Source organism: Homo sapiens, chromosome 8, assembly GCF_000001405.40.
Source record: "Homo sapiens chromosome 8, GRCh38.p14 Primary Assembly".
NCBI lineage: Eukaryota > Metazoa > Chordata > Mammalia > Primates > Hominidae > Homo > Homo sapiens.
The window spans coordinates 66,062,837-66,076,591 of NC_000008.11; the positions used below are offsets into that span (position 1 = coordinate 66,062,837).

The following is a 13,755-nucleotide window of genomic DNA, read 5'->3' on the forward strand; positions in this document are numbered from 1 at the left end:
AAAACCCTAAATAGATATTAACGTATAGACAGGCTTGGTGGCATGTGCCTGTGGTCCTGGCTATTTGGGAGGCTGAGGTGGGAGGATCTCTTGAGCCCAGGAGTTTGAGGCTGCAGTAGGCCATGATTGCACCACTGCACTCCAGCCTACGTGGCAGAGTGAGACCCTGACTCTAAAAAACAAACAAACAAAAAATCAAAGTGAACTAGTTTTGCACATTAGCACTTGGGTCTCTGTGTCTCATGAATAAGCTTAATTCCTCCTTGTTGACAAGGTACCAAGTATTCTGATTCACATGACAGCAGAAGACTCAGTTGACTGTTCTTTTTCATTTGACTTCACATGGAATTTTCTAGAAATTATCTTCCGGTTCTGCAGAAATGAGTTGCCTCAGAGTAGACCAAAGTGAGGCAAATTCTGTTTTCAAAAGAAGCAGAAAAGAGTGCCATTTCCATAATAATCTGTGGCAACCCCAATCTGTGGTGCTTTTACCCATCTTTATTAGCAATTACAGGTGAAAACAGAGACTGCTTATGAATAAAGTGTAAATGTCAGGGGAATGCATAGTTAATAGAAGAATTGTAAATATTTACAAGGCAGAGTGATGATTCAAGCTCACAAGATTAATTGACATTAATCTCTATCAAGCACTAATTTGCTTCCTGAGTTCTAAAACCTTCCACTGAAAAGAAGAGTATGTGAGGCCATACTCACAGCCCACTTGGAAGAGTTGTCTTCCGGTGGGCTGCATAACCTCCCTTGTCCCTCGTCAAGTCTTTCACTTGATCGAACCTCTTAGTTCTTCATGCAGTGCCAATCTCAGTCATTCCTAGGTGCCAGAATCATTACGATCCGTAACTTTTTCACTCACTCATTCACTCAATATCTATTTAGTATTGGATAATTATTTATATTATACTATGAGAGATGAATATACATATAATATTCATTGTATTCATTAATATGAACCCTATGCTCAAGTTCATCTATCCCACTCACTGTACTCTCCCTTGTTTTGCTTGTCTTTGAGACATATCTTTTCAACCTTATTAAATTTTACTCTATGTAGTAAACTCTTTAAATTTACTGGCTCTGGTTTGCATGGTTGTGCAATCTTCTCCAGCAATGCTGGCCAGCAGAGAAACAGGAGTGGAATTAGTGGGTAGCTAATGTCATCTTCTTGGGGGTGAAACAGGAAATCAGAATGATTAAGAAATTGAGTAAGATGGTTTGAGTAGCATTCAAGTGCATGAACACAAGATTCAGCCTGTATAGTTAAGGAAATTGTCAGTGAGACTGCCAGTCTAGAAAAATAGGTCCTATTAGGTTTAAAAAGTGAGTTTGGGGAAAAATGGGTTTAGGAAGAATAAGAAAGTGAGAGCTTGACGTAAAGATCAGAGGATAATGCTGTTTGTTTTTGCACTGAGAAAACTGAAAGACTAGAGACACTGGGAGCCTGAAAAGAGCTATTGGCAGGGACTGCTTCTGAAAACTACCAGGACCTGCTTGGAGCTTTGTCACTGGAACTTAAGCCAGAAGCCGGCAGGAGGAAGGCCTAGAGAGAGCAAGTGCTTGCTGAGAGCTTTGACTAGAACCAGGGGTGCGAGCTGCTATTGAAAGTAGGAGACAAGATATCAGGCGGAGGAAGTCTATACAGCCATTTCTCCTACACCGCAGTCTTATCCTCCCTTGACCTTCTAGTTCAGTAGAGATTGCTGGCCTGAAGAAAAACCACAAATGTAAATTTTCCCCCAGGAAACATAATAAAGTTAGATGCCCAGAAACTTTTATTGGGAGCTTGGGCCAGATACAGATATTTTGAGCTGTATGCAGCCTACAGATTCTGAGTGAGCTGTGGGCTGGTAGGTTGTTGGAAAAGGATTATATTATACAGTACACAGAAATCTTAGTGGCGTGCTAAAAGCTGTCAGTGACCCACTGGTGTCAGAAGTTCAGGTCCTCATCCCCTAAAGTAGTGCCTTATGATTGGTGTTGGACATGTATTTTATCTACTGTGTTTGCACAAATATCCCAGTTCCTTCTACCTTATTAGAGAGGGTAATGAACTGGCTCTTAATCAGCCATAGGAAAAAACTGTAGTGACCAGAAAGCTACCTTAAAAAAAGATTAAGTATTGTTGTACTTTTAATCCTTACATTTAAAAAATCAAGTATAATTCCTCATAAAGTCAAGTTAATACACATTCTAGTAAAAATGTGGGGAAATACTTTTCAAGCGATGATTGAGACACAGTGGTTTCACCAACTCCACTACCACTAGAGGTCAGCACTTGACTCTCCATATGGTTCTGTACGAGGGAAAAGACCAATTCTCTGAAACAGATCATCATCTACGGTTCGTGTTGTTATCTCATGCCATCTGTCTTGAATCACAAAGGTGACTGCATCCCAGAAAATGAGAGAACACTCAAACAATGGTTGGGGTGAGTTGCTCAGATATTCCATCTGCAAATGTGAGAAAATCATAGGATTGTGTAATGTGGCCTTCAGTGTGTCCTCAGTGGGGCCTTGCTGGTCAAAGTACTTGAATCATGTACTATGGTAGCAGGTGTTTTAGAAATAATTACACAGCAGGGGTAGCACTGGCATCACAATCTGCAATTTGAAACCAAATGGTGCCCCGAGCTTTCTATTCTGTCCCTTATGAAGGACAGAGACTAATCCTGGCCCAGTGGCTCCTGAGTCCCTAAGCCCTGCTAGCATTCTCAGCCACATACTGTACTCAAGCTTCTTGTGGGAGGGCAGTTGTACTAGGTGCAAGTGCATGAAGTGGTTGTAGGGGGCTGTAGGGTTGAAGGATTTAGGGGCTGATCAAGAGAAAAGATATGACCACAAGAGGCAATAACACATCATAAGCTTTGTTGGTGCTTGGGTGCTTCGATATGGCTGTGTGAGAGGGGCCCTCATAGCATAAGACTGCCCAGGGGCTTTCAGTGAAGGGGCACCATCTGGGAGAGGAGGGTGAGGGAACTTCTAAGGAAGAGGGGGTCAAAAGAGGGGCTTACGGGTCTAGTTATGTCATCCAGCAGCATGGCAGGTCTTTTGAGTCAGAGAGCTCCAAAGAACTATAAAAGCTTGAGGTCTTATAACCACAAAGCTCCATCTTATCAAAAGCCAGCAGAAGTGGAGTGAGGTTTTGCAGGGTAGGTAAAGCAGACTGGCTCTACGTGGCTGGAAATCTGATGGTCAGGCTATTTTTTAGATAATTGGATGTGTTAAATAGACATTTCTCAAAAGAACATATACAAATGGCCAACAAACATATTTAAAAATGCTCAACATCACTAATCATCAGGGAAATGCAAACTAAAACCACAATGAGGTATCGCCTTACTCCTGCAAGAATGACCATTATTAAAAAGTCAAAAAACAATAGATGTTGGCACAGGTGTGGTGAAAAAGGAATGCTTATACATTACTGGTGGGAATGTAAATTAGTACAACCACTATGGAAGACAGCATTGAGATTCCTTAAAGATCTAAAAATAGACCTACCATTTGATCCAGCAATCTCACTACTGAATATCTACACAAAGGGAAAGAACACAGTATATCAAAAAGACATGTTCATACATGTACTTATTGCAGCACAATTCATGATTGCAAAGATACAGAAGCAACCTAAGTGCCCATCGACCAATGAGTGGCTAAAGAAAATGTGATATATATACATCATGGAATACTACTCAGCTATAAAAAAGAGAAAAATAATGTCTTTTGCAGCAACTTGGATGGAGCTGGAGGCCATTATTCTAAATAGATAACTCAGGAATTGAAACCAAAACACTGTATGCTGTCACTTATAAGCTAAGCTATGGGTACACAAAGGCATACAGGGTGACATAAGGGACTTCGGAGACTCAGAAGGGGGAGGGTAGAAGGGGGTGAAGGATAAAAAACTACAATGTATACTACTCAGGTGTTGGATGCACTAAAATCTCAGACTTCACCACTATACAATTCATCCATGTAACCAAAAACCACCTGTACTCCAAAAGCTATTGAAGTTTTAAAAATATTTAAGAATAAATACATAAACAGATGTATAAAAACCTGACTTTGGTGCTGGCAGGCTTTTGAGCTACTGGGTTTCAGCCTGCAGTGAAGAAATTTTTAAAAAGCTAGGGGCCAATACACAAAGGCTGTCTTTGGCTCATATGTGTAACAGCATGTAAGGCCTTTGGTGGGATTAACATATAGTTGAAAGAAGACAACGAAGACATAAGTGATCATCAGGAGTTTCCTGGTTCTCACTGACTAGGTAATTTGTACCAATTGTTCCTCCTGCTGACAGCAACTAGAAAAACTGAAAGAACACACCCCCCACCCTCCCCCACTTCCCACCGCCCCCCACCCCCACATATTTTAAAAGCATTTGCGAGTAAAGAATTACTGCTAACTGGGCCCTGATCTTGGAGAACAGAAGCTGAAAGGCTAAGCAGGACTTTAAAAAACAGCCCTACAGACAAAAGAGGAGAAAACTTGGACACTAGCCCAACAAGGATGAAGGTCCTGCAATTTTATTGAGATTCTGAAGTGCTGTAATCCAGGAGAAAGGGTAAATTAGAAGGAAATCTTCTGTGGTTGACAATTACTTTGGTGGTCATCAACAACCATGCCTGCTGGTTTTCATGTCCTTGTGTTGTAAGTCATGAATCTGGGATGGCTCTCTGACCCAATTTAACCCATAGAATATGGCAGAAGTGATGCTGTGCCTAAATATTAAAAAGGTCTACTAGTTTCTGCTTTTGTTTTAAGCTAGCCATCATTCCAGAAATTTAACTACCCCAAGACCATCTTGTTGTGAGAAGCCTCATCTAGCCATGAGGAAAAGCCACATGGAGAACAGAGTTCCCCAGACAGCAGCCCTAGCTGAGCTCCCAACCACAGCCAGCACCAACTTATTGGGATATATGTGAAGCCATCTTGGGAGCATATCTATCAGCTCCAATGAAGTTTCCTCAACCAATGCCAAGCAGAGCTCAAAATTGTCCCCACCAAGTTCTGCTCAATGACAACATTTGAGCAATTAAATAAAATGCTTGTTCTTTTAAGTTCCTAAACTTTAAACTTTATGTAGCTTGTTACAGAGAAATAAATAATAGGAACACCAGTCTTGTATGGACTGCAACTGAACTTCGAGTCATCTGGGTAGCCAAGGAAACCTTGATCTTTAATATTGGATTAAGATGATCTTAGTTTTGCAAAGACCACAGAAATCTGAAAATAGGAAATAAAAACACTTTCTGGTTTAAGATAATATCTTCTTAGTCCTCAAATTATTTCTTAAATATGTTTTAATGCAATGTTTGACACAGAGATAAGCATACAAATCAAGACAATATGAACAAGATTTAGCAGAAATAATAGGAACAGAGCCATGAGAATTTTAGACATTTGAATGATCAGATACAGATCTTAAAATAACTATCTATGACCAAGAAGATAAAATATGAGACTGAGAATTTTTTTTTAAAATCCTGAAAATTATGGAAAGGGATATTTCAGATTTGCAAAAGAAACAGAAACTCTACAACAGAAAATACAATCACCAAAGGAAAAAACCTTTACCAGGTTAGAGAGTTGACTAGAAGATAGCTTAGAAGAAAATACCAAAGAAGAATTACAAAAAGATGGAAAATGAAAAAAGATTTAAAAATAGAAGATTTATTAACAAGATAAAAACGAAGTTTCATTAACAAGAAAGAATTACAAAAGGATGAAAAATGGAAAAAGATAAAAAACATAGAAGATTTATTAAGTTAGATATAAGCAAGTGGAGTCTAAAAAGGAGAGTAGAAAGAGAATGAGGAAAAGCCATTTGAAAAAACAACATGTCGATTTTCCAGGTTCATGAAAGATATTAAACCACATATACTCAATAAAAGCAAGTAAAATAAAGACAAAGAACTCTATACCCAGGCACATCACAGGAAAACTTCCAGAATCTAAACATGTGTAAAGCCTTTATAGCAACCAGAGGAAAAAATACATATTACTTTTAAAGCACAACAATTAGACTTACAGCTGATTTTCCAACCAAGGTAACAGAAGCCAGAAGACAGAGGACAAAAGTCTTCAATATGGTGAAAGAAGGTAACTGATAACCTACAATTCTACATCCAGGGAAATTTTCAAAATTTAGTTGAAATAAAGACATATTTTTTTTTAGAGAAAACTGTGAATTAATCCCCAGTGGATTTGAGAAGAATGATAAAAGAATATATAATTTCTAAACCAACAGGGAAAAAAAGTAGAGTAATGAGAAATTAATCCAACAAGAAGGCAAGAAAGGAAAGGGAAAAGAAATATGAGTATATTTTAGAAGGGACAAGTAGAATACGGTGACTAAACCTGAAAAATATCAGAAATTACATTAAAAATAAATATAGACCAAATGCTTCAATTAAAAGAAAAAAGTCACTTTGAATAAAAAACTGACATCATATGGTTTTTACAAAAGACATATCTAATATTTAAGAATACAGAAAATTTGAAAATAAAAGGAGGGGCAAAGATGCTATGCAGATGCTTACCAAAAGAAAGCTGTATAGCTTTATTAAAATTAAAATGAAGACAGAAAGCATTACTACAGATAAGGAGCGATACTTCATAATGATAAAAATTTGACACCCTCCAAAGTCTAAACCAGGAAGAAGTCGAATCCCTGAATAAACCAATAACAAGTTCTGAAATTGAGGCAGTAATTAATAGCCTACTAACCAAAGAAAGTCCAGGACCAGATGGATTCACAGCCAAATTCTACCAGAGGTACAAAGAGGAGCTGGTACCATTCCTTCTGAAACTATTCCAAACAATAGAAAAAGAGGGAATCCTCCCTAACTCATTTTATGAGGCCAGCATAATGCTGATACCAAAACCTGGCAGAGACACAACAAGAAAAGAAAATTTCAGGCCAATATCCCCGATGAACATGGATGCAAAAATCCTCAATAAAATACTGGCAAACCGAATCCAGCAGCACATCAAAAGGCTTGTCCATCACGAACAAGTTGGCTTCATCCCTAGGATGCAAGGCTGCTTCAACATATGCAAATCAATAAACATAATCCATCAAGTAAACCGAACCAATGACACAAACCACATGATTATCTCAATAGATGCAGAAAAGGTTTTTGACAAAATTCAACAGCCCTTCATGCTAAAAACTCTCAATAAACTAGGTATTGATGGAACGTATGTCAAGATAATAAGAGCTATTTATGACAGACCCACAGCCAATATCATACTGAATGGGCAAAAACTGGAAGCATTCCCTTTGAAAAACAGCACAAGAAAAGGATGCCCTCTCTCACCACTCCTATTCAACATAGCAGTGGAAGTTCTGGCCAGGGCAATCAGGCAAGAGAAAGAAATAAAGGTATTCAAATAGGAAGAGAGGAAGTCAAATTGTCTCTGTTTGCAGTTGACATGATTGTATATTTAGAAAACCCCATTGTCTCAGCCCCAAATCTCCTTAAGCTGATAAGCAACTTCAGCAAAGTCTCAGGATACAAAATCAATCTGCAAAAATCACAAGCATTCCTATATACCAATAACAGACAGAGAGCGAAATCATGAGTGAACTCCCTTTCACAATTGCTACAAAGAAAATAAAATACCTAGGAATCCAACTTGAAGGGATGTGAAGGACTTCTTCAAGGAGAACTACAAACCACTGCTCAAGGAAATAAGAGAGGACACAAATGGAAAAACATTCCATGCTCATGGATAGGAAGAATCAATATTGTGAAAATGGCCATACTGCCCAAAGTAATTTATAGACTCAATGCTATTCCCATCAAGCTACCACTGACTTTCTTCACAGAATTGGAAAAAACTACTTTAAACTTCATATGGAACCAAAAAAGAGCCCGCATAGCCAAGACAATTCTGGGCAAAAAAGAACAAAGCTGGAGGCATCATGCTACCTGACTTCAAACTATGCTACAAGGCCACAGTAATCAAAACAGCATGGTACTGGTACCAAAACAGATATATAGACCAATGGAACAGAACAGAGGCCTCAGAAATAGCACCACACATCTACAATCATCTGATTTTTGACAGACCTGACACAAACAAGCAATGGGGAAAGGATTCCCTATTTAATAAATCGTGTTGGGAAAACTGGCTAACCATATGCAGAAAACTGAAACTGGACCCCTTCCTTACACCTTATACAAAAATCAACTCAAGATGGATCAAAGACTTAAATGTAAGACCTAGTACCATAAAAATCCTAGAGGAAAACCTAGGCAATACCATTCAGGACATAGGCATGGGCAAAGACTTCATGACTAAAACACCAAAAGCAATGGCAACAAAAGCCAAAATTAACAAATGGATCTAATTAAATAAAGAGCTCTGCACAGCAAAAGAAACTAGCATCAGAGTGAACAGGCAACCTACAGAATGGGAGAAAATTTTTTGCAATCTATCCATCTGACAAAGGGCTAATATCCAGAATCGACAAAGAACTTAAACAAATTTACAAGAAAAAAACAAACAACCCCATCAAAAAGTGGGCAAAGGTTATGAACAGACACTTCTCAAAAGAAGACATTTATGCAGCCAACAGACACATGAAAAAATGCTCATCATCACTGGTCATTAGAGAAATGCAAATCAAAACCACAATGAGATACCATCTCATGCCAGTTAGAATGGTGATCATTAAAAAAGTCAGGAAACAACAGATGCTGGAGAGGAAGTGGAGAAATAGGGATGCTTTTACACGTTAGTGGGAGTGTAAATTAGTTCCACCTTGTGAAAGATAGTGTGGCGATTCCTCAAGGATCTAGAACTAGAAATACCATTTGACCCAGCAATCCCATTACTGGGTATATACCCAAAGGATTATAAATCATTCTACTATAAAGACACATGCACACGTAAGTTTATTGCAGCACTATGCACAATAAAAAGACTTGGAGCCAACCAAAATGTCCATCAATAATAGACTGGATAAAGAAAATGTGATACATGTACACCATGGAATACTATGCAGCCATAAAAAAGAATGAGTTCATGTCCTTTGCAGGGACATGGATGAAGCTGGAAACCATCATTCTCAGCAAACTATCACAAGGACAGAAAACCAAAAACCACATGTTCTCACTCATAAGTGGGAGTTGAACAATGAGAGCACATGGACATAGGGAGGTGAATATCACACAGTGGGGCCTGTCAGGGGGTGGGGGGGTAGGGGAGGGATAACATTAGGAGAAATGTTTAATGTAGGTGACGGATTGATGGGTGCAGCAAACCACCATGGCACGTGTGTACCTATGTAACAAAACTGCATGTTCTGCACGTGTACCCCAGAACTTAAAGTATAATAAAAAATTGATTCACCAAGAATGTATAACAGTTATAAGTTTATGGGCTTCTAAAACACATGGCCTAAAATATACAAAACAAAGAGTTGGCAGAACTTTAAGGAGAAATCTGCAAACCTACATTCATAGTGGAAAGTTTTAACACATCTGGCTTGATAAATCAATAAAATGGCTAAGGATATAGAAGATTTGAACAAAACAATTAACAAACAAAATCAAAAACTATAAAAACAAAGTACCCAATAAGAACAGAATATATACCCTTTTCAAACACACATGTAACATTTATAAAAATAATAAGACATAAGGCAAGTCTCAAATTTTAAAGGATTTCAATCATACCAAATATGTTCTCTAACAGCAATGCAATTATGTTAAAGAGCAAAATTTTTAAATAGCTGGAAATTTTCCGTATGTTTGAAAATTAGGAGGTATAATTTAAAACAACTAGTGGCTAAAAATAACAAACCATAATTAAAATTATAAAATATCTATAATTCAGTGCTACATATTAAGATGTGAAATGCAGTCAAAATAGCACTTAGAGGAAAATTTATAGAGTTTAATGCACATATTAGAAAACCAAGCCCAGCAATAAATTTTAAAAATACATAATGACCAAACTGAGTTTATCCCAGAAACATAAGCTTCATCTAACATTTAAAAACTCAATCAATCACATTAACAGGCCAAAAGAGAAACAAGATATCTCCTCTATAGGTGCAGAAATAACATTTGGTAAAATTCAGCATCCATTCACTCATAGTGAATTCAGAAGAAGGACACCTGTTACAGCCACTTTTGACATCGTACTTGGGGTGGGGGGTCTTAGCCAAGGCAGTACAATAAGGGAAGAAATGTAAATGATATAAGGATTCGAAGGGAAAAAATCCAATTATCACTTGAGCTTATATAATTGTCTATGTAGAAAATTTAAAAGAATTTATAATTTAATAAAATTTGGACATGAGCTTGGGAAGTTGGAAGAATAAAAAAATCAACATACAACAATTATTTCAAACATAAAAATAGAAAAAAATTATTTTTATCTGCAATAAATAATTAGGAACATTTTTAAATGTCAAAACCACAAAAAATTAAGCTCCCAGGACTAAATCCAAGAAAATATACATAGAACATAAAGGTAAAAATGATAAAACTTTAAAATTCGTTAAAAAGATTGAAATAGGTCGACATACTATACAAAAGTCAATCTCCAAATTAATCTATAGAGTCAATGCAATTGCAATAAAAATCTCAATAGGTTGTGTGAATGTGCATGTGTTCATGTGTGTGTGTGTGTGTGTGTGTATGTGTGTGTGTGTAAATTGACAAGCTAATTCTAAAATTCATGTGGAAATGTACAGGACCCAGAATAACCACAGAACTCTTGAAGAACAGCAATATGGCAGAATTTGCTCTTTAAGATATGAAGACGTATTTTAAAGCATCACATGTTAGACTGTTATTGGCCCAGAAATAACCAAATTGACCAATGGAGCAGAATAGAGATCCCAGAAATCCAGGGAAAGGATTTTCTTTTCCTAATAAATGGTGCTACAAGAGTGGAATATCTATTTAAAGTAAGTGAGATTAGACATCTACCCTCCAGCACATTAAAATGTCAGGTATCAATGGGCCATAGACTTCCATATGAAAGGAAAAGCTATAAAGATTTTAGAGTTATAGAGAGTTTATAGAACAATATCTTCCTGAATTGAGGAACAAATTGGTTAATTCAGTAAATTAAAAGAAAGAATTTGTGATTACCAAGAGATACCATAAAGTAAAACAACAAGAAAGCCCCAGAATGGGAGAAGATATATGCAATACATATAACTGACAAAGAATTCATATCTAGAATATGCATTTTTAAAATACTACAAATTAATTTTAAAAACCAAAGTAAAAATTTGTAAAGGACTAACATGCACTTAGAGAATATCCAAACGGTATATATAACAGCCTCATATAAACCACGAGATTGACAGACATTAAAATATTTTAAGAGCTGGGGCAGCATGGTTAGAATCAGGCCTCAGGTGACTCAGAGACTGGTAGAGAGTGGTAGGTAGCAGTAGTTTGATTGCATCTTGAAGTGTTGGATGGGGCAAGGAAGAGAATGGAGCAAAACATTGTAACTCTTAGAATTATGTCACTGCCTCAAAATAGGAAGATCTTGAGGGCTTTAGATAATTATAACTATAAACCACATGTTTATCTTATCTGCCACTAATTAAATTCACTATGCATTTTAGTTGAAAGCTGTCATTAGATTTTGAAGTGGAAATTAGAGGCATTGAATGCTATTTCTAATATTAGCTATAGCCACATTGACAGGTGACCAAGAGTGTAGAGACATTTAGAATTAAAGGCTCACATTCTGGTTGAATATTATGTCACTTTAAGTATCAATGTAGAAATGACAACAAATGCCTTTAACAATGGATAGGTGCCTATTCTATTTAAAAATACTCCAAGCACTTCCTTAAACTCTACATTCTATAGTTGTTTCCTTGCTCTATGGACAACATGCAAGAGGGTGAGGCATTGCACGACCACCTCCTTGACGGTTGTGGAATTTTGGCAGCTGTCTCTGCTCACCATACTTCCCGAGGATTCCTCAGAGCCAAGAGTATCTGCCAAGAGGAATCAAAATGTTGCTGATGACCAGGAATTGGATGTGTTACAAGTGGAGGTGTTCCAGCTCTCCGAATTTGCCAACTCCATTGTTAGGAGTGTGATAAATGGATTGGGTGCATCTGCCCTTGTGAGCTGACAGAGATCCAAGCTGTTTAAAAAATGACAGGAAGCCACCCTAGAAACAAGAAAATGTATGTAAAGAGGCATTTTCCAGAGATTTCTTCCTTCCTGTTTTTTTGTTTGTTTGATTTGGAGTCTCGCTGTCGCCCAGGCTGGAGTGCAGTGATGCAGTCTTGGTTCACTGCAACCTCCACCTCCCGGGTTCAAGCAATTCTCCTGCCTCAGCCTCCTGAGTAGATGGGATTACAGGTATGTGCCACCACACCTGGCTAATTAGTAGAGATGGGCATGTTGACGAGGCTGGTCTAAAACTCCTGACCTCAAGTGATCTGTCTGCCTGGAGATTTCTTCCTTTCAAGGCAGAAATAACAGCCCTTTCATTTGATTGGCCTAGACATGATATCTTTGGAACCATGGGGGGGGAAATGCTGCAATTCCTATTTCAGGGCCCAGAGTGAGAATTCCAGGAATATTAATAGTGCTGAAATATAGTAAACATAAAAGTAAAAAAATGACAAAAGGCATTTTATGCTATTAGCAAATATTTCATTATAAATTCTGCATGTAAAAAAACATGTCTACAATGGTCCTATCTATAAGAATTTATAAATACCCCAGATATCTTTCAAAAAGGATGAAAATAAGTTTTGGTTAAATAAATTTAACACGAACCATCATTGTTTGATTTTTAAAAATTTATTCTGAGTTTAGGATTAGAATGGATTATACATCATGATTTATGCTTTTAAATATTTTGGTAATGTAAAGCATCCTGATGCTGAGCTCCTTAAATATTCATCTACTTCCTAATCAATAATAGTTCAGTTCCTAAAATAGATGTGATTTGTTCCATTTATCATGTAGATTGATTTATAAGGTGTACTCTACTTTTCTGCTTTACTTCTGGACTTACTGTTTTAAAATGAAACAATTTGTTCTAAACTAATACAGTAAACAAAAGCTTAAGGTGTGTTCCTACATAGACGTATGATAGGCACAGTAGGGAGATGAGTCAGGTGGAATTTCCAGCAGAGTCCCTCAGAAACTGCTTTCTGATCCACAGAGGAGAAGGCCTTATGCCCACAAGAAAATTTCTATAGATTATTAAGTGGAAAACCCTATTTAGAAAGAGGCCAAATATGCATTTGAATACAAAGGAAGTCACAGTATTTGTTCAGAAAACCAAGAGTTAGTTAGGACTTGTGGAAGATTAATGAAGGGGTCTTAATTTTGTTCAAGAGAGACTTTTTTGATAGCTGAGTTGAACTTTTAGAATATATGTTGTGACGTTCTGTTAATTCTGGAAAATTCTTCTGGTTCTAAATGGAAGTTTGGTGTAAACTGGTCCTGTTGCTGAAACTCTTAAAGGTCTGTAGGGGCGGGCTACTGATAGCTTCTTGGTAAAAAGAAACTTCGCATATTTGCCAACAACAAATGTCTCTCAGACTCAACAGTCATGCAGATACTGAGAATTCCTTTGGAAATGTGAGAGGAGAAATAGTACTATTGCGCCTGTGCATTCGAACCAAGGGACATCATTTAGTGAAAATGTACTTGTTAATCACCGCTAGTCTGAAACTCACCATTTCACAGTATTTGCGCTAATAAAGAATATACAAATGAACAGTGCC

At 37.3% G+C, this 13,755-nt stretch overlaps 1 protein-coding gene across 4 annotated transcripts in view, besides 1 other annotated feature; it reads left to right on the forward strand.

Moving 5' to 3' along the window:
* DNAJC5B (DnaJ heat shock protein family (Hsp40) member C5 beta) overlaps positions 1-13,755 on the forward strand; it is an 86,268-nt gene that overhangs the window by 47,859 nt on the left and 24,654 nt on the right. The window lies entirely within an intron of this gene.
* Positions 1,378-1,672: a silencer, noted in NCBI's record as "tiled region #492; K562 Repressive non-DNase unmatched - State 22:ReprW". NCBI's record gives its function as "represses a minimal TATA promoter and a strong SV40 promoter by Sharpr-MPRA in K562 cells {active_cell/tissue: K562}" and the evidence as "EXISTENCE:reporter gene assay evidence [ECO:0000049][PMID:27701403]".